General features: G+C 50.6%; 3 annotated features.

Moving 5' to 3' along the window:
* Nucleotides 550-599: an enhancer, noted in NCBI's record as "active region_23675". NCBI's record gives its function as "activates an Ori minimal core promoter by ATAC-STARR-seq in GM12878 lymphoblastoid cells {active_cell/tissue: GM12878}" and the evidence as "EXISTENCE:reporter gene assay evidence [ECO:0000049][PMID:35858748]".
* Nucleotides 12,482-12,561: a silencer, noted in NCBI's record as "silent region_16642". NCBI's record gives its function as "represses an Ori minimal core promoter by ATAC-STARR-seq in GM12878 lymphoblastoid cells {active_cell/tissue: GM12878}" and the evidence as "EXISTENCE:reporter gene assay evidence [ECO:0000049][PMID:35858748]".
* Nucleotides 16,719-17,219: an enhancer, noted in NCBI's record as "H3K4me1 hESC enhancer chr5:173734378-173734878 (GRCh37/hg19 assembly coordinates)". NCBI's record gives its function as "activates a minimal SCP1, AML or CMV promoter by ChIP-STARR-seq in naive H9 embryonic stem cells {active_cell/tissue: H9 hESC(naive)}" and the evidence as "EXISTENCE:reporter gene assay evidence [ECO:0000049][PMID:30033119]".

Here is a 20,645-nt window from a genome sequence, read left to right as displayed (position 1 = left end):
TACTAAATACTCAAGTCTGAATCATTTGCCACTTGTACTTTCAGGTGAAATGGTTGTCCATAAAAAAGTGGTGAGTTCAGCCGAAGAAATTGCTCGTGTTTTTCCTCAAGACAGCTATGAAGCAAAAGTGCTTCATGCACAGCTTCCATTTTGTCACAAAAAGTTGTGTATGCAAGAGTTGAGACTGAATAAAATTAATTCATACAGCTTTGTCAGGGACATTCTTAAGTGAAACTAGCATCTGTATTTTTTAAAGCAACAAGTACATGGTGACACTGAAGAATCCAACGATGGCCACGGCAGCGTGCCGCCACTTCCCTCCACCCCTGCCAAAGCTCCAGCAGGTTCCCCTCTGCTGCTTCTGCACCCTCAGTGCACGCATCACTTAGGAGCCAACCACACTTCTAAGCTCTCTGCACATATGACCTCATACACCAGCCTCCACAAGTGGCCTTGTTTCCATGGAGACAGTTGCCCAGCTGAGGACTACATTTCCCAGCCTGCCTTGCTTCCAGGGCCGGCCACCTGACGGGTCCTCACCCTTGAAACAAATGCAGGCTGAAGTGACTCCTGCCAGCTCCTCTGACTCAGGTGTGCCTTCCTGGCACTCTCTTCCCCTTCCACCACAGGATGTGTGTGAATGGTGGATTAGAGACGAAAAGAAGGAGATATAGTCTGGACATCAATAGGCAGTGGAATGAGAGGAGTATGGAAGGAAGGGTGTGAAGGAGGAAGGAGTAGAGAAAGATGCTCAAATTCATCACCTTCCCAACAATGTGGACGTTGATGTTGCTACCAGCATGACGATCACCGAAGGAGAACCGGGATATCAGTTAATGTCCAGGCAGAAATCCTGGGCTGTTATTTTGAGTATGAATTTCTATTACACAAGGACTTTAAAAAATGTAAAGCTATAATCACATCCAATGAAATAAACCATATTTATGTAATATTAGTAGCATCCAATACCGAGTCTATGTTCGTTTTTTGCCCCCATAATGTCATTTAACAATCGGTTTGTTAGAATCCAAGTAAAGGATCCAACGCTGGTTTTTTTGTTGTTTTGTTTTGTTTTTTGTTTTTTGTTTTTTTGATGGAGTCTCACTCTTGTCGCCCAGGCTGGAGTGCAGTGGCACAAGCTCAGTTCACTGCAACCTCTGCCTCCCAGGTTCAAGTGATTCTCCTGCCTCAGCCTCAGGAGTAGCTGGATTACAGGCATGCACCACCACGCCCAGCTAATTTTTTTGGATTTTTAGTAAAGACAGGGTTTCGCCTTGTTGGCCAGGCTGGTCTCGCACTCCTGACCTCAGGTGATCCACTCACCTCAGCCTCCCAAAGTGCTGGGATTACAGGTGTGAGCCACTGCACCTGGCCTCAATACTGCATTTTTTTTTTTTTTTTGGATGTTGCTTAATTCTCTTTTAATCCCTAGTGATTTTCTCCACCTGACACCTGACTGCCATTAATTTCTCTAAGAAACTGGGTAACATTTTTCTTGTAGAATTTCCCAAATTATGGCTCTGACTGATTGACTGATGTTGCTTACACGTTCATCTCTCCCACATATATCCTGGAAACTTAGTTCTAGAAGCTTGATTACATTCATGTTTTTTGTTTTTTGTTTTTTGCGAGAAAATCTGCCAGGTGGTGCCTGCTTACTTCCTACTATGTCAGGGGTGTACCGTGCCTGGGTGTCCCCCTTTGGTGATGTTAAAATTGTCCAGTATAAGGTCGCATCTGCCTGGTCTGTCAAGTGTAGGTGGCCACATCAGTCTGTCCCTTGCGAGTCTAAGCAGACATTCATGATCATTGCCGAGATACAGTGTTTCATTTGCTATTATCCATTTTATCATTCCTCCTGCACTTGTTAGCCTTGACCTTCTAAAAAGAACTTTTTCTCATCAACTCTTTTCTTATCCTGAGCTATGGTCTTTAGAGGGAAGGCAAAATAAATATTGTATTCTTTCCCTTTATTTATCAATTTTCAGAATAATGAACTTGTACCCTAGCCACCTCCAAAAAGAATTAGTAGTGCCATTATGAACTCATAGCTTTTATACATTTGCTGCATTTCAATCCATTGCAGCCAGTATTCTTTCTGATGCTAAAGTTATCCCATCCTAAGACAGTGCAGGGGCCCTTCAAATTGGCCCCTCTCTCCTAGAAGTCTTTGATCATGTTTTAATTCCAGCATGACAAGAGATTCCAGACTCATCTTGTACATTTCCTGCTCAGGACCTGGAGTTGGACAATCCAACTTTACTCCAAGAAGCCCTGGCACCTCTCAGTGGGGAACGGTACTTAGACTTTCCACACCCTTCCAAAATCTAAGCAAAATAATAATGGATATAAAAATTAAGAAATATCCACATCAGCAAGGCAAAACCAGAAAGAGGATCCATGGTGCCAGGAACAATAGGGTTATCTGCACATAAAACACAGATAGAGTCCTACCAACCCCAGAGAAAGAAAACATGCCTGTCTGGGGAGGAAGTAGAAGGAACCCTGGCAGCTGCAGGGTTGCCCTCAGAAACTCAGCTGGGAAGAGTGAGAGGAAAGCCATGATTATTCACACCTGCGCTGTGGGAAAGCATGTCAGTGGTTCGTCTCCACCACCAGTGCAGTTCTGAGCCAGGCCCTTTTCACACAGCTTTGCCTGACTGTACAGATAACAAAACAGAGACACAAGGAAGCAAAGTTACCTGCCCAAGGTCACACAGCCAGTGATAAACTGAACCCTCAGCTCTGACTTCCACACCTGCCACTCTGCCTCCATCAGCACCTTCATTCTCACTATTGCCCTCACCTCCTTCTCCAGGGGCTCAGCTCACCCTTAGTTTCTCCCCAACCAGTGACTTGGGAGGTCCAATTCCTGGCCCACCAGCTCTGCTGTGCTTCCCTGGGGGGTATGAACGTTGATGTTCATTCCTTAGGCTGACAAATATCTATTGTGATGAACCGTTCAAGGTTCCACCCCCGTGATGATGAATTTTACGTGTCAACTTGACTGAGCCCAGGGATGCCCAGATAGCTGGGATGCATTATTTCTGGGCATGTCTGAGAGGGTGTCTCTGGGGCAGATGAGCATTTGAATCAATAGGCTGAATAATATGGTTAGGTACCATCCGCACTGTTGAGAGACCAAAGAGAAAAAAGTCGAAGGGTACATTTGCTCTCCTTGTTTGAGTGGGGGCATCTGTCTTCTCCTGCCCTCAGACATCGGTGCTCCCGGCTCCCAGGCTTGCAGATTCAGACCAGGGCTGATCCCCATCAGCCCCCGGATTCTCAGGCTTTCAGACTCAGTCTGAATGACCCCACAAGCTTTCTTGATTCTCCACTTGCGGATTAGTGGGATTTCTTGACCTCCATAGCCTCGTGAGTAATTCCTATTTTAAAAAAAACCCTCATCTATCTATCTATCTATCTATCTATCTATCTATCTATCTATCTATACATTTCTCCTATTGGTTCTGTTTTTCTGAAGAAACCTGACTAATACAATCCCTTTGTGTCTCATCTAGGGCTTAGAATACTTGGCGGTGCTCCCTAAATAGCTAGCAAATGAAAGACTGAATCAGTAAGCTCATGAGGGAAAGAAGGAAGGAAAGAAGGAAGAAAGGAAGGAAAGAAGGGAGGGAGGGAGGGAGGGAGGAAGAAGGAAGGGGGGAGGAAGGAAGGAAGCAAGGAAGGAAGGAAAGGAGGGAGGGAAGGAGGGAGGGAGGGAAGAAGGAAGGAATGATGGAAGGAAGGAAGGGGGAGGGAGGGAGGAAGGAAGGAAGGGAGGGAGAGAAGGAGGGAGGGAGGGAGGGAGAGAAGGAGGGAGGGAGGGAGGGAGAGAAGGAGGGAGGGAGGGAAGAAGGAAGGAATGAAGGAAGGAAGGAAGGGGGAGGGAGGGAGGAAGGAAGGAAGGGAGGGAGAGAAGGAGGGAGGGAGGGAGGGAGAGAAGGAGGGAGGGAGGGAGGAAGGAAGGAAGGGAGGGAGAGAAGGAGGGAGGGAGGGAGAGAAGGAGGGAGGGAGGGAGGAAGGAAGGAAGGGAGGGAGAGAAGGAGGGAGGGAGGGAGGGAGAGAAGGAGGGAGGGAGGGAGGAAGGAAGGAATCACAGTAGTAGCAGCCAACATGGTTGAGACCCCCGAGTCGTTCCAGCCTCTTCCAACAGGCAGGGAGACAATGCACTCTCCTGAAGCCACTGTAAGCTTTATCTGGGCCCCACAAGGGCAAGGAGAGAAGCCAAAGTCATTTCAGGGAATGTGGATTGACAAGATCGGCAGCCGGATGCAGGTGGTGTCCTCTCACAGCTGTCCATCAGGGGCCTGCAAACAAGAGGCATTCGTCAGGAGAGACCTGTTGTTGCTAGGAAGTCAGGACGTCCACTGTCCTGGAAACCAGTTCTGCACTCACTCAGTTTCAGAGGGCAACCCTGCGGCTGATGAGTAGGAGACAGTGATTCTGAGAACTCCAATTCCATTCCGATGCCAGCAGCAGGTACAGAGGGAAGGCATCCTCCCCTTCAACACAGGGGCCTCTGAATATACCCCAAGGACTTGTCAATTTACAGGGATGGCGAACTGCAGAAGGGTAGATATGGGTGCTAGTGAATGATCAGATATAGTTTGATTAAGGGAGGTGAAAGAGAAAGGGAACTTTATTGGGCTCCTATGCTGTGTGAAGCTCATGGAGTCAAGGTTTATGATCCCTGGTTTATAGATGGAAGAACAGGTGGAGTGAGTCAGGGTACTTGGCCGTAGGAACCCAGCGCACAGCGAGCGGTCAGTTGGATGCCTCACCCACTCAGCCAAGCTGACCCTTGATCATGCTGTCTCCTGAGTGGGCCGTGCGAGGACCTGAAGAGGGCCCGGCTGGGAGGAGGCTGCCCGCTGCCCAAGGGGCCATGGGAGCCAGCCAGTGATCTCTACTGTCATCACCAACTGGACGCAGTTGAAGCCCAGTTCTCCTCACATTGACTTGAGCTAAGATTTGGGAAACAAATCTCCTCAGTTATGCCTTTCTTTGAAGGTCCTGATGAAATCAATGGCTTTTCTCTGCATCAGCACTAACCATTTAGAAGCAAAATAAAAAAGGAAACACAGAAATGAAATTATTTACTTCAAAGATAAATTATAAAGTATCTAACCACAGAGTTAATACAACTAATACACCACCTGTATGAATAAAGCTACCTGTGTTATTGAGATAAGCCAAGAGAAATTTTAGACTACTGAATAGGAAGATGGAAAACCACAAAAATGTTCATTCTTGCCAAATTAACACATACATTCAATCCAATTTTAGTTAGGATCCCAACAGTTTTGAAAAGGAATACATTTTTGAGTTCCTATGGAAGAACAAATGTCAAAACAATGCAATATATTCGTGAGGAGGGAAAATACCTAAACTTACTGTAAAGCTACCATAATAAAAACCATGTGGCATTACCGCAGAAACAAACAAATAACAAAAAAAAAAAAAACCAACACAACAGATGACAAAGATGAAACAGGGCAATGAACCACAAGAGAACAATGATACAGGATAGAATATTGAGAAACATATGCAAGTTCACATGGAAGTGTAATAGTCATAGTGCCATTTTATTTTAGTGAGAAATAAATGGTATTGTATATCTGGAAGAAAACCTAAACTGGGCTATATTAATCACAACATTTTTTAAAAGATTCAAAGTGAATTAAGAATCAAAATGTAAAAAGCAAAGTGAAAAATAACAAAGCATTTTAGGAAAACATTGGATGGAGAGAATCTTCTTAGGCAAGACAGGAAACCTAGCTGCCTTAAGAAATAGGAGAAATGGCTGACTTTGCAATATAGTTAAATTTTTGTATAGCAAAGAAACCATAAATACAGTCAAAAGATTTGAGGGGAAACATTGCATATAAGACCAACAGAGTTAATATTTTTCAGTATATGAAGAGCTCCTATAAATTGATAAGTAAAAGGCAAAAAATATCATCTAAAATGGGCAAAGTATATGCAAAGACAAATTCATCTTACTTGTCACAGGGAAATGCAACATTTTAAAAATGCAATATTGTTTTCACTCATTAGACTCAACAAGAGTGGGTCATCTCTGACGTGGGGAAAATGTCATTCTCATACACTGGTGTGGCAGTGCTAATTGCTACAACCATCTTGCAAGGAATTCTGGAAATATTTATTATACATCCACAAACACCTTTTGGTCCAATAACCTCACTCTTCAAAATCTCTTCTTTAGATTTAAAAATATGAGTATGAAGATGCATAGTTCAGCACTGAATGGGGAAACAGAAAAGGTAGAAGTCGTCCAAATGGTCTTGAGTGGGATGTGGTTGAGCAAATCGAATTATTCCCTCAAGTGCATAGTCATGCACCTGTTACAGAGCATGCAGCTTCTGCCTGGGCTGACCTAAAGAGATGGCCATGATCCTTAAGCAGAAACAGCAAGTTACAGAGAAATTCATGAGGCACCACCTTGCTTTTTGTCAAAAAAGCAAAACAAACAAAATGAATAGATGTCAATGTATGTATGAGAGCAAAAAATATTTAGGAAGCTTAACCTCAAGCCTGGTGAGATCTGAGGCCCAAGAACAATGAGTTCTTCCCTCCCTCCCTTCCTTCCTCCCTCCCTCCCTTCCTTCCTCCCTCCCTCCCTTCTTTCCTTCCTCCCTCCCTCCCTTCTTTCCTTCCTTCCTTCTTTCCTTCCTCTTTCCCTCATGAGCTTACTGATTCAGTCTTTCATTTGCTAGCTATTTAGGGAGCACCGCCAAGTTTTCTAATGTGGGTGGACTCTCAATGTGGGTGGTGCTGGGGCTGGAGCTGTAAGCTGACTGTGAGCATCTCTTGTGAACTCTGTGTTCAGTGACCTCGCGTTGGTTCTTTGAAACTGGCCACGTTGGTAGCATTTGCACCGAGGAAGTTGGCAAATGCTCCCCTCAAGAGCCCGTTGTTAAACCTTTATCACCTGCTTACTCTTTGTACCGGGAAATGCATGGGCACAGATAATTTTAGAGCACACAGGAGACCTTTCAGCTCTAATTTTCCAGGGGTCTCTGGCCCCTGGCGGGGAATAACATCCTTTCCCAAGGATACTGTGGTCTTTGCAGCCTGAGTCACGCTATGCTGCATCCTTGCCACTGGAGAGCAGTGTTGCCCCAGGCAAGGCGTCTGCCCAGCCAGGAACAGTTGGGAAGAGCTTCCAGTCTCAGCAGTGAGCAGGCAGTGTCTCAGCCCTCAGGGCCCTGGGACCCCTCCCTGGGGGGTGGAGATGGGGGAGAGGGAGGAATCAAACCTTAGCATCCTTACACCCAAAAAGCATGGATTTGAAGAGCGGGGATAAGATAACAATAAGACACTCAGCACGTTACCATTCAGGCCAACTGGCTCTGATACTTACAAGCAGTGTGAGAAGTTAATACCCCACTAGCCTCAGTTTCCTCATCTGTAAAACGGGACACACAGCAGTATCAACTTCACATGGATTTGAGATGATTAACTGACTCGATGCACTTATGCACTTGATTGAGCTTAGAAAGGTGCCTGGCACCTGGTGATCCCCCAGGAACGGCAGCTCCTGTTATTATTTAACACAGTGTGTTTAGTGTCTCGTTAATATTTGTGCTCATCCTCTGAGGTATGAACTATAATTTTCCATTTTAGAGTTAACACTGAGGGACACAGAAGGGAAGGCGCTGTCCCAAGGCTACACAGTGAGTGGGGGACAAGCAGGGCCTTGAATCCCGGCCTCAATAATGCCATGAGACTCCCCTTCCTCATTTGGCACAGAAGCGACAATGAAGAGAGAAGAGGGTCTGGAGCCTGCAACGGGGTCTGAGCTGCCCTCCCCAGCCCTGCCTGCACACCGTGGCAGGCTGCTCAAGCTCAGCATCCCCTCTCTGAGCCCCTGTAAAATGTGACTTGCACTGACTACCTCAGAGTTATTGTGAGATCCAGTAATACAGCGAATACGAAATCCTTCAAAACAAATAAACAATCCATTGATGTCTTCATTCAACTCATGCTTGTCACACTCCAAATGTAGGCCAGGCCCTGGGCAATGGTGTTTCGTGAACGCCCAGGCTTTGCCCAGATGGGCTCACAGCCTGTGAAGGGAGGGCTGATGCAGCCTCAGTTTTCTCCTGTGGCTACAAACACTTTTACCCGGCACGATCTGGCATTTGGGAGGGTAGGCAGGGCACCTTTCTAATGTCCCACCACCACACACACATACACACACAGGCATACACTCACACACAGGCACACACTCACAAAGGAGATATTGGGTCACTCATGGGCTCATGTTGGGGAGCAACAGAGATGGCTGCTTGTTGACAGGCAGCGGTTCAGCATGGCAAGGACTTGTCCGGGGAGAGGCTGTCCCATGTCCAGCTGCAGCAGGGGCGCCCTGAGCTTTACCCGTGCTTAGGCGGTGTTCATTCCCTAGCAAAGCTCTTGGTATCCATTGCTGTCCCCCTGGAAGGAGGCTATCGATACAGGAGGCCACAGCCAGGCAGCGCATATCCAGTTCCTGAGCTTGGCTTTCCCACTTTTGAGCTGGGCACAGCGCCAGCCCCTACACCAGTATTGAGGACTGACGGAGGTTCTGCACGCAGCAGGCCTGGATCCCAGGGAGCGCGGACAGGACAGCGGATGCCCACATAGTTAGTGCTCATCTGCGAGGCTCTGCTCCCAGCTCCCGCCCGAAGCCCAGTGTCGCTTCTCCTTTGCAGTGTCTTATAAAGTAAACAGATGCTAGTGATCTCCACCTGTAGAGCTGTGTGAGGACTGAATAAGGCAGACATGAGTGCCAGGCACATGGGCTGGCAACGCAGAGGCCAGACCAGACCCAACCTCTGAAGCTGGCACCTCCACCCTTCCTGGTGCTCAGGCCGAAGCCACACTTCCACCTCAATGCCCTCTCTCCTGTCCCAAGCCACTTGGTCTTCAAAGGCAGCCGCCCCACCTCCAGCCTGACCACTACTCCCCTACATGCCCTTTCTGTGCCAGCCATGTTATCACCATGGCTGGGCCAAGCCAGTGGCTCCAGGGACCTCCTGGCTGCACTCTCCACGAGGTTGACAGAGTGGTCCTTTTAAAGTCGAAGTTAGATCCTGTCTGTTTCCTGCTCTGAGCTCTCCAGTGGCTTCCATCTCATTCACATGGAATAAAATCCAAAGCCCTCACCTGGCCCTACAAAGACCTCACCACCTGCTTCTTATCCACGCCTCGGAGACTCTGCACCTTCTGTTTCCTGTACCCGGCACACCCTTCCCACACAGCCACAGGTGTCTCCTCCATTCATCCCGGTCTCTGCTATGGCCACCGGGACAGAGCTGCCCCTTCCTTCCCTGTTATGTGGAGGCTGCTCTCCCCTGCACTTCCTTGGGACTCCCCATCTCTTCACCTTGCTGTCTGGTTCCTTTTAGCACCCAATGCCACATGATGGGTTTAATGCCGTCACCGTGCCCCCTCACCTGTGAAGCTCCTAAAAGGCAGGGGCTCAGTTTTGTTCTTTCCAAGCTCCCGCCTGGCACTATTCACTAGCCCTCTGCCTGGCACTACTAGTAGGCACTCAATAAATACATCTTGAAGAAATAAATGAATCAGTAAATGCAGGACTGAATGAGTGAATGAATGAAAAACTCTGCATTAACCCATGGATGTACTCTGAAGGACTGGTTCAGAATCAAAGGATTTTGTTCGATTACCCATATGTACCAGTGTCCTCTCCAGACCCAAATTCCTCCAAAAACAGACTCGCCTCTCCTTAGGGAGACACAGAATGCTTACTCCTAAACTCATTCCAGAAACTCTGGCAGCTGGGTCAATGAAAATCAACCCGGAAGAGCCCAACAGACCTCCCATAAATGGAGCTCCTGGTGGCCCTGCCCTTCCTCTCGGTAGGTGGCCTTGTGGAGGGAGAGTTAAAGACTCTACTGAGACAGTCCTGGGTCAAATTCCTTCTTTCTCCAATTGGTGTGACTCGGGCCTGTTGGAGCCTCAGCTTCCCTCTACAGATAAGGGGCACGAGCCCACTCTTCATGCCTAGCTTGCCGTGATGTTGAAGCAGGGATGGGGCCTTTTTGGCGACAACCTGCCACAGGCCGGGTGCACACAGAGCACTCAGCCTCTGGGAACATTCAGCAAGTCTCGGCTCCCGTTCCCCACTGTGGCCCCAGCCATGGCGCCCCTGCTGCCCTTGCTCCCCTGACAGGGGAAGTGAGGACAGGAGAGGAAACCGCTTGCCTAAGGTTATGGAGATATTTTGCAAAGCTGGAGCTGGATGCATCTCAAATTCCTGAGTCTGAGCCCAGAACTCACCCACTGCCACCCACTGAATGTGTTGACTTTTAAAGGCCGTCTGAAGATGTGGTTCCCCTGCTGAGCACTGAGGAGGGGAAAGGATGAGAAAGAAACAGTGCTCAAGTGAGCTCCACGCCTGAAGAAATCTACTGAGGCTGCGGTGGACTTGGGGACTGGCACTGACTGAGGGCCTTCCATGTGCCAGGCTCCTTGGCATCAACTACTTCATTTGACTCAATTCTAACGCAGCTCTGGGCAGTAGGCATCACTGTGCCCATTTCACAGAGGTAAAACTGAGGCTCCCAGAGGGGTAACCACATACCCAGAGTCACACACAACTTGCAGATGGCAGAGCTTCGATTCAAACCCAGGTCTGCCTAAGTCCCAGCTTTCCCTCACTGTGCTGTCCACATCCCCAAGTCCTCTGAACACTGCCTTTCCAGCCCAGCCAGCCAGGACTGAGACACACGCTTTCCTCCCACAGCTGGGTCTCCAGCTCAGCTCCCTGAAGGTCCTGGGCAGGTGACAGTGGTGTGAGAGGGGGCCGGCGGTCAGTGTGGGGGACCACACAGTGAACACGCCCTGAAAATAGGCTCCACTCAGTCTTAATGCTAACCCAGGGTTCTATTGTCAAGAGGAAAGGAAAAGCCAAGGTTTCATGGAAGATCTCCTGATCTTTCCATGTTGTCAGTTGCATTTGTGCACGGTTTTGGGTCCTTGAGCCACTGTCCCGTCACTACGGCACCCACACATTGGCAAGAGCCAATACGGGTTATCTGTTTCTGTTTGTTTCTTTCTTTCCGTTATGGGCTGAGTCGTGTCCCCTCAAAATTCCTGTGTTGAATCCCCAACCCCTAGTACCTCAGAATGTGACTGTATTTGGAGATAGGAAGTTTAAAGAGGTGATTAAGTTAAGGCCATCACGGTGGGCCCTAATCCAAAATAACTGTTGTCCTTATAAGAGGATATTAGGACACAGACAGGTACAAAAGGAAAGACGGCGTGAGGACACGGTGAGAAGGTAGCCGTCTGCAAGCCAAGGAGAGAGGCCTCTGCAGAAACCAACCCTGCTGACACCTTCGTGGCAGACTTTTAGACTCCAGAACTGTGAGGAAATAAAGTCCTGTTGTTTAAGCATTCTGTCTGTAATACTTTGTCCTGACAGCCCTAGCAAATGTCTCCTTCCTTCCTTCTTTCTCTTTCTTCTTTTCCTTCCTTCCTTCCTTCCCCTCCTTTCCCTCCTTTCTTCCTTCTTCCTTCCATGCCTCCTCTCTCTCTCTCTCTTCCTCCTATACCTGGTGGGACATAATGCGATAAAATTAAAGAAGGAAGCGATGGCTGCAGGGTGGACTGGGTCAGACCCGTCTGGAGAAAGGTGCTCCTAAGCACAGATCCACCCCCACACGCTTCCATGAGACATTCCACTCAGCTTCCTTCAGGGACCAGGGTGGACTGTGCTTGGGAACAGTAGGGGTGAAGGGCGAGGCCGGAGGGCATGTTCTCTACACTGATGGCTGCAGGGCAAGGTGGTGGGGCTCCGGAGGGCTCTTGTGAGCAGGGCTGCGGAGAGAATGGAAAAGAGAAAGAAGGGTGGAGAGGGAGGGCCAGGAGGTGCCTGCCTCCTACCCCCAAATCTCTAAAATTCTACTCAATCTCACAAAAGGAAATCTACCATGGATTTCCTAATGGTGCTGACAAAGCGGCTACCATCAGGGTCAGGGGGAGACAAAGACCCCGCCAGCTGGTGCAGGAGGTGAGGAGTGGGTGTGCGGGGAAACCGGGTGGGGCAAGTCGCTAGGAGGCCTCGACCGGCGCCCGAGCCACGTGTGTGCACAAATAACACCACAATCAGCGCCCCCACCACAATCAGCGCCCCCACACCGAGTGAACCGGTGCCGGTGCGCGCTTCCTCCCACTGCAGCAGCGGGAGACTCAGGCTCTGAGCAGGCTGGGGAGCCGGCCCTTGCCGCCAGCGAGCTGCAGGGCTGGGACTCGACCCTCGGCTCACCAGGTTCCCTGCGCGGCCCTGGCATCGTGGCCACCCGCTCTGGAAGCCGGGGCTTCAGACTCTCTCCAGCAAGCCTGGGCCGCAGAAGCCGGGACCGCAAAACAAAGGAGCTCGCGTTTGCGGGGAGCGGCCTGGCCACCAGGGGGCAGCGTGCGTCCTCCGATGCCGCCGCTGGGCCGCCTTTGTCGCGGTGCAGCCCGGCCCGCACCCCGCAGCTGCCCGTCCGGGGATCCCTCACAGGCCCCCGAGCCCCCGCGCCCCCGCGCGCCCGGGTCTGCCTCCTGAGCTGCTCCTGCCGCCAGCCCTTCCCTCCTTTGACTGGCGGGTTGAATGTCGGCCGTCCCTCTGGGCCTAGCTGGAAGATCTGCCCACGCAGCCTTCCTTCGGCTTCGGCAGAGACAGGCATCCGCCGCCGCCGGGCCGCAGCCCACCCGCCCCTCCAGCAGCCCCCGCTCTGCGGTGAAAGTCTTCCCAGCGTCCAGTGCAGCGCAAATGCAGATTCCAGCATCCCAGTGCCGTCTAGATGGAGCCAAGACGCCTGCAGAAATACGGGGGCTGCCGGGCCTCCTGGGTCAGGAGAGCTGTAGGGCCCATGTCTGTCCCATGCTGGCTACACCGGGCTGGGGGCTGGGAAGGTCCGTTTAGTTTACGGATCTTTCTCCACCAGCCCACGGCAGCCTCCTTGGGCCAGGACCACGTCTGAGTCGCCCCTGTCCCCCCAGGCCCAGCTTGGTGCTTGCTGGTCGAGACCTCTGTGGGTTCCCAGGGGTGCCCTGGGGGCCCCTCTCAGGCATGGCCCCCTTTTGAGGGGGGCCCGCCCTCCCGTGTTTCTCCTGGTCTGGGGCGCCTGTGCTTCGAGTCCTCTGTACACCCAAGGAACCCTCCGCTGAGGCAACATGGCAATCAGCAGAGTTGGGATCTCAACCCCGGCTGGCTGTTCCCATGGGTGCTGCGAACCCCAGCCTCCTGTCCCCGCCCCCGGGCCTCCTCACACACAGAGGGAAGAGTGTGCCGCTGCTCTGCACCGAAGCTTACACCCAGCTGGAAGATGTCCTTCGTGCGCATTTCCTCATTTCACCCTCAAAAAGCCCCACAAAGTCGAAACGCTGCCACGCCCATTCCACAGATGAGGACGCTAAGGCCCAGAGCTGGGGAGAAACCTGCACAAGCTCAGCCTCCTGGCGGGGCCTCCCAGAGCTCTGCACCCTTCCTGGAACCTGCCCACCCCCATTTGCTGTCCCCTGCCCTCTGATTCTGAAGCATTCTCCTGCCCTCTCTCTCAGCCCCCCGTCTGTTTCCTGAGAGGGTGACACAATATGTTCTTGCATAGTTTCTCATGACTGCTACTGCCTGTCTTTCCTCAATTCTGAGCGCCATCCAGGCAGGAACCATGCTAATTTTGTTCACCACCCTATTCCTGCTCATAGCAGTTTGCCTGACACATAGTAGCTATTCAATGAAATGTGTTGAACGAATGACTGAAAATTCAAAACATCCTTGAGGGAGTATGTTATATCATCCTCATCACCACCCCATGTTACAGATAAGGAAGGAATCTGAGCTCGGAATTAGAGCTGGAATTTAAAAGAAGGAAATTTTCGGATACAAATTAATCAAGAAGTCTATCAAAGTATTGTATTTGGTTAAAGAGTTTATAAATATGATATTACACATATGTATATTGCAGATACCCGGCATGTGTTAATAACAGAAATAGAACGGATAAAAATAGTCAACTTGATGAAACGCACCACATGAAGACAAAGGTGACGGACAGAGGAGGCTTTGGAGCGTTTACGATGCTGTTACGGTGGGTGTGCTGTGAGCCAACAACACAGTTGGAATTTGACCGAGTGGAGCAGAGAGCCAGGCTGAGGCTTAAATGTCCCAGCACTGTGCGGGCTTCCCTGGTCATGCCCCCCTCCTGCTGCTAATGGATTTATGAAAATAATAACACAAGCTACAGGTAAGTAAGTAATCAGCCGGGCCCTGCCAGTGGTAGCCTTGCTAGCTACACCTAGAAGAGAGGTTGGGAGAGATTGCAGTGAATTTGAGTTGCTCATGAAATGCCTGTACTGAACGGTGGGTTTGGAGCCCTTAAGAGACCCCATGCCTGCTGGGCATGGTGGCTCACACCTGTAATCCCAGCAGTTTGGGAGGCTGAGGCGGGCAGATCACGAGGTCAAGAGATCGAGACCATCCTGGTCAACATGGTGAAACTCCGTCGCTACTAAAAAAAATACAAAAATTAGCTGGGCGTGGTGGCTCACACTGTAGTCCTAGCTACTGGGGAGGTTGAGGCAGGAGAATGCCTTGAACCTGGGAGGTGGAGATTGCAGTGAGCCAAGATTGCGCCACTGCACTCCAGCCTGGCGACAGAGTGAGACTCTGCAAAAAAAAAAAAAAAAAGAGAGAGACCCCATGCCTGCTGGGGCACCCTCTTATACACTGCCCTGTGGAATGAGTTCAGATTGTCTCCATTTATGAGTGAGAGGAAGTCATGGAGGGAGAGAAAGGGGTCCGCAAAGAGAAGGGACTCCGCTGGCCTTGGCCTCACAGCAGGTGGCAGGGAGAGGGCACCCACCCAGCTCTGCACAGCTGCCTAGGCTGAAAACTGTTCCTGGGGCAGGGCAGGAGCTGAATCCTAGCAGGCTTTGCCATCTCCAGCTCCAGTCGTGTGCCATGAATTATTCCTCCAGCATCAGGGACACTGTCCAAGCCTGGCGACATGATGGGTTTTTAATTTATGATGCTTCCCAAAAGGAGGCTGCTGGAGGCCGAACTGTGAGCCACTCGGGAGAGCCTGCCGTCCTTACGCCCTCTGCACATTTGTCAACCCCACAGCACAGGCCAGGCCCTGGGCTCAGAGCCCCGTGAGCAACCTCAGGGGAGACAAAAGAGCTGAATTCAGACCTCTGATTTGCCTCTTACTAGCTGTGTGATGTGGGGGAAGCTACTAGGCTTCTCTGGGCACTTATCCTCATTTGAGAAACGGGCCAACCACTCACAAGGTTTGGGTGTCATGTCGATGAGAAATTGTATGTGAAATGGAAATACGCCTGATGCCATCAAGGCAAAAGGACTATTAGGCTTCTGGCCTCCAAGCCAAGGCTTTCTCCAGATCAAAAGGCAGAGATAGTAGCGGCGTGGGGAGGGGTGGGGGACAAGCCATGGGGCCTTTGAATGCTGGGCACTGAACTTGGATTTGATCCTAGGGGGCAGGGAGTGTTTGAAAGGAAGTGTTCAGGTTTGCATTTCAGGAAAGGCTCACGGGAGGCTGGAGTCTGGGAGAGGCAGGCACGGGAGATATGCAGGTAGGTGTCTGCCAGGGTGATGGGGGAAGCTGGGGAACACAGGAGCAGGGCCAAGGACCTCAGAGCTGCTCTGTTTCCATTCATGTCCCTATTATGGGTCACATTTGTGCTGTGCCAGGGAAGACCCACACCCCCTGGCTCTCTGCAATTTGGGGGCCTCCTCACTTGGCTTTTACCCTAATCTTTGAACCTGCCTCTTTCTGTCCATTCCCTGTGAAACATCAGAATTTAAACATTTTCTTTTCAAGGAGGCTGTGTGGTATCCAGAAGGGGAACTGAGGAAAATGTCCTGAGTTTCGCTTCCCACTATTCCTACTATTCACACTGTACCTTGGGCAAGGATCTCGAGTTGGGAGAATATCCGGGTTAACCAGGGGGACCCAGTGGTCTCAGAAAGGTCCCCCTGAAAGGGAGGTGGGAGAGAGAGATGAAGATTCTATGCCACTGGGCTCTGGAGATGAAGGGAGAAGCTACGAGTGGAGGAATGTAGGCAGCCTCTAGAAGCTAGAAAAGACGATGGAAAGCATTCTCTCCTAGAGCTTCCAGAAGGAACGTAGCCCTGTGATACCTTAATTTTAGCCATTGAGACCCGTTTTGTACTCCTGATCTCCAGAACTACAAGAGAATAAATGGATATTGTTTTTAGGCAGTACATTCATATGTTACAGCAACAGTAAGAACATAATGCCTCCTCTCTCTCTCTGGGCCTCAGTTTCCCCACCAGGGTTGTGGACACAGGGCATACTTCATGCTCAGGCTCTGTTGAGTGGGACCCAAGGCTGTATGGAGACCAAGCCGACCTTTCCCGCTCAGGACACCTGGACCGTCCCGGTGCCCACCATGGTAAAGGCCGATGCCTGTCCCATGGGTTGTGGGTGAGGTGAGTGGGTGAGAGGGACAATAGGGACTGGTGGGGCCTGTGGAAAAGCACAGAGCAAAGGCTTTGGCTACCAGGGCAGCCCCATGCATGTGGCCAGGTGAGGAGGTAGGCCCAGGTGGCCGGAGGGCCCAGCTCTGCTTAGAGAAGCCAGAATGATTGGTTTTCATGTGAAATCTCCAGCCTTTAGATGTTGCCAACCAATTAGAAAGAATTCAACACCGAGCGAGCCAAACCAAACACATGTGCAGCCCAACCTAGCCTCGGGGCTGCAGCAGCACCGCCTCCAGCTTGTTCATGCAAACTCTGGGCTTTGGAACCAGCCAGACTCGGGCTAGAAGTCCGGCTCTGCCACAGCCCTATGTCCTTGGGCAATGTACCCACCTCTTTGAGCCTCAGTTTCCTCATCTGTAGAAAAAGGGTAAAACTGCTCACCTCACTAGGTTGGATGAAGAATAAATTATGGAGTGCATGTGAAGTGCATGGAGTAGGCCCAGGCTGGGAATTCACTAGCTGTGACATGTGCGTCATTATCACTATGACAATTATTTTATTGTGTGGGTGGGAGGACAGCTGCCCACACCTCTGTATCCTGTGCTGGTCCTTCCAGTAAGAAGGGCCTCTGTGTCAATTCATGATGGCAACTTAGAGACCGGGCTCTGCAGAAAAGAGCCCGGCAGCCCGCTGTCTCTGAGTTCGTATCTCGGGGGGGACATGGGAAGTGTAGTGAGCTCACAGCATACCCAGCCGGGTGCGGGAATACTGTACGGGAAGGTGCTACAGAGAGAAGGCGAGTTCACTGCTGCATTGAATCCCAGTGGCATCCATCAGCATCCCTATCTGTTCGCTTACAAAGCAGCACTTGCCAGCCTCCTCAGATTGCCTCTGCTCCACCAGGCAGACTGATGGATAGCTCTGCAGCCGCCACACCCCCCCTCACCACTGGAGGTAGCGTTCTCAGTGCTTCCCAGACTTTATCCATTACACTATAGCCAATGTCGTCTTCTGCAATCTTTTACTTACTGTTTTACTTTAGGTTGACTCATTTCTCATATACATTTAGGTCGATCTTAGCAACACCATATGTAAAATAATGAGTTGGATGAGTACTTTTTTCTTATGTTTGTTAAGACAAATGCATCTCTGTTAAAATTTACAAATTTGTCATTGGAAGATCAGCCCGCCTGCCCCCGTGACGGTGGGGGCATCTTTGGATTGGGTGTGATCTCGCCCTCCCTGTTTCTCCCTGTGGGGTTTTCTCCCATCCTTGGTTGCTGCCGCGGCCCCTGCCCTGGGGACTGAGACATCAGAGGGAGCAAGCAGAGAGAGTGATCATGAGTATGTTCCTTCCGGCATCCTCATCTGCTCTCGATTCTTTAAAGACGTATTTTACAGTGTGTTTGACTCATTCATTCATGCCTTCCGCCTGTAGAATGCTTCCCAGTCCTTTCATTGCAATTAAATGTGTGAACTAAGTATGTGGCTTCTAGAGCTCCCACTGCCTGTGAGACAGTGCCTGAGCTCTGGGCATTGTACTGGAGGCTCTCCATGGCCCCCTTCCCAGCTCTCTCCCCTCCCATCACATCCCCATTTACTGGTTGTATTCCAGCACCATCCAGCCAGAGTCACCCTTGTGGAATTTCACACATGCTGGCCTCATCATCAGGAGAGGCCCCTTAGCCTTCGCTTGCTGAGCAAACTCCTACTCAATTTTCAAAACCCTACTCAGCACCACCTCCCTTGTGGAGCCTTCCATGACTCAATCTTTCTCCAAAAATACTTTGGTTTTTTGGCATCTCCTTTACCAGTACTGTGGGCTGAGTCTTCAATATTTGTTACCCAGCTAATGACAATCACCTCCCCTCCACCCCTCCAACCTCCCCTCCAATCTGATCTTCACTGCCAGAGGAACCCTAGAAAGACATCAGTTGGAGCATGTCATTCCCCTGTTTAAAATCTTCCAATAGCTCCCATTGTACACAGAATGAAATTCATGCTCTCGATAAAGGCCCCCAAAGCCTCGTGTCACCTGGCCCCTGCCTCCTCTCTGGCCGAATCTCCAACCTCTCTCCACCAGCTCCCTGGCCCAGACTTTCTGCCTCAGAGTCTGCAACTGCTCTCTAATCTAGAATGTTCCATTCCTCTCTGACCTCCACTTGTGTACTTTCCAAGCCCTGTCCTACCACACTCTCTTTACCTGCCTGCCTCTCGGTCATCACTCAGGTCTCCCCTGGACTACCACCCCCTCCAGGAAGCCCTCAGTGACTTCTCCAGTCTGCCTCCCTTACCTGGATGGGCCCTCCTGAAGGGGAGGGGTTGCATTGCATTCATCTGTGTGTCCTCAGGCTGAGGACCAGGTAAGATTCATTTACCTGTGGAGACAGACTCTGCCCCACTAGTCCCAGAAGCAAGACCAGCTCCTCTAGTGACATGGTCCTCAGCCAGCCTTCCTGAGGGCTGGTGCAAGTGAGCATGAGCACCCCTGACCGCACACAATGTCCCTTCCCTATAGTGGTCATTGGAGGCTTGGCGAGGACACAGCCTACCTGGAGATCAGGTAGTGGATTTACCAAGAGAGCAGCCAGCATGCCGATCTGGGTGGCGGAGACACATCCCCTCGAGATCAGCCAGGTGTGAGCAGAACAGTCACAAGATAGGGAGCCAGGAGAGCCAGGCTGCACACCCAGCTCCACTCCGAGTTCAGCGCAGCCCTGTGGGTGCCCTGCCTTACTGGGCCCATTTCCTGGGGGCCAGGTTAGAGTGCACCAAAGGCCCTCCCGGCCTGGGGTTGGTGCAACTCAAATTTTCATAGACCTTTAGTTCCTTCACCCAAAAAATGGGGACAGTGATGCCAACCACACCACCAATGAATGAACAGGAGCAACACGTGCAAAAGCCTCACTCGGCCACCCCAAGGAGCTAGGACCCCTCCTGGGACTTTCATGGGCTCCAAGCATTCTTGCCTTCATAGGTCCCTTCCTCAGAAAACTTTTAAAAATTATATTTTACAGCTGCATTGGTATAAAGACAAATATAATTCAGGCTGGATGAGAGTCACTATTCTCTTCTTGTTTGAAGAAAACTGAAACATTTTTGTGGGCCCCTAAGAATACCTTCTTCTCCTCCCCAGCCCCCCTGCATTTCATGTCCCACCTAACCTCCATGGCATAGGGTCCTGGGCTTTGTCAGGCGGCTCTGACTTCAACATGGCAGATGAGGGGTCAGCCTTGCTCACTGTGCCTAGCAGGTGGGAGAAGGCAACCCCTAGGGCAGGTCTGTAAATGTGCTCAATGTTTATTGAGCACCTCTGATCTCCAGTACAGCTAGTGTTAATTTCTCAGTGCTATTCACTCCCTTTGTTTTGTCTTAGTATAGTGTCTTCGTTCATGTCTGCCTGAGAAATTGGCCTTATTTGAAATAGGGCTTTTGCAGCTGTAACTAGTCAAGGACTTTAAGAGGAAATAATCCTGGGTTTAGGGCAACGCCCTAAATGCAATGATTGGTGTCCTTATAAGAAGAAGAGAGGGCCGGGCGCAGTGGCTCACCCCTGTAATCCCAGCACTTTGAGAGGCCGAGGCGGGTGGATCACCTGAGGTCAGGAGTTCGAGACCAGCCTGCCCAACATGATGAAACCCCATCTCTACTAAAAATACAAAAAATTAGCTGGGCGTGGTGGCAGGTGCCTGTAATCCCAGCTACTTGGGAGGCCAAGGCAGCATAATCACTTGAACCTGGGAGACGGAGGTTGCAGTGAGCTGAGATTGCACCACTGCACTCCAGCCTGGGTGACAGGAGCAAAACTCCGTCTCAAAAAAAAAAAAAAAAGAAGAAGAAAAGAGGACACAGAGACACAGAGACACAGAGGTGAAGAGGATCCAAAGATGGAGGCGGAGGTTGGAGTGACACCTCCGCAAGCCAAGGAACCCCCAGGATTTCAGCAGCCCCAGAAGCTGGGAGAGAGGCCCGGACAGTTTCTCCCTTGGAACCTCCAGAAGGAAGCAACCCTGCTGCCACCTCGGTTTCTCACGCCTGGCCTCTTGATCTGAGTGAGAATACATTTCTGTTGTTTTAAGCCGCCCAGTCTGTGGTCATGTGTTATGGGAGCCATAGGCAGCAAATCCACTCAGCTAATCCTTACCGAAGCCCCATCTCT

This window comes from Homo sapiens, chromosome 5 (genome assembly GCF_000001405.40).
Source record: "Homo sapiens chromosome 5, GRCh38.p14 Primary Assembly".
NCBI classification, from domain to species: Eukaryota; Metazoa; Chordata; class Mammalia; order Primates; family Hominidae; genus Homo; species Homo sapiens.
The sequence above is the reverse complement of the archived record's forward strand: the minus strand, read 5'-3'. Positions and strand labels throughout refer to the sequence as shown.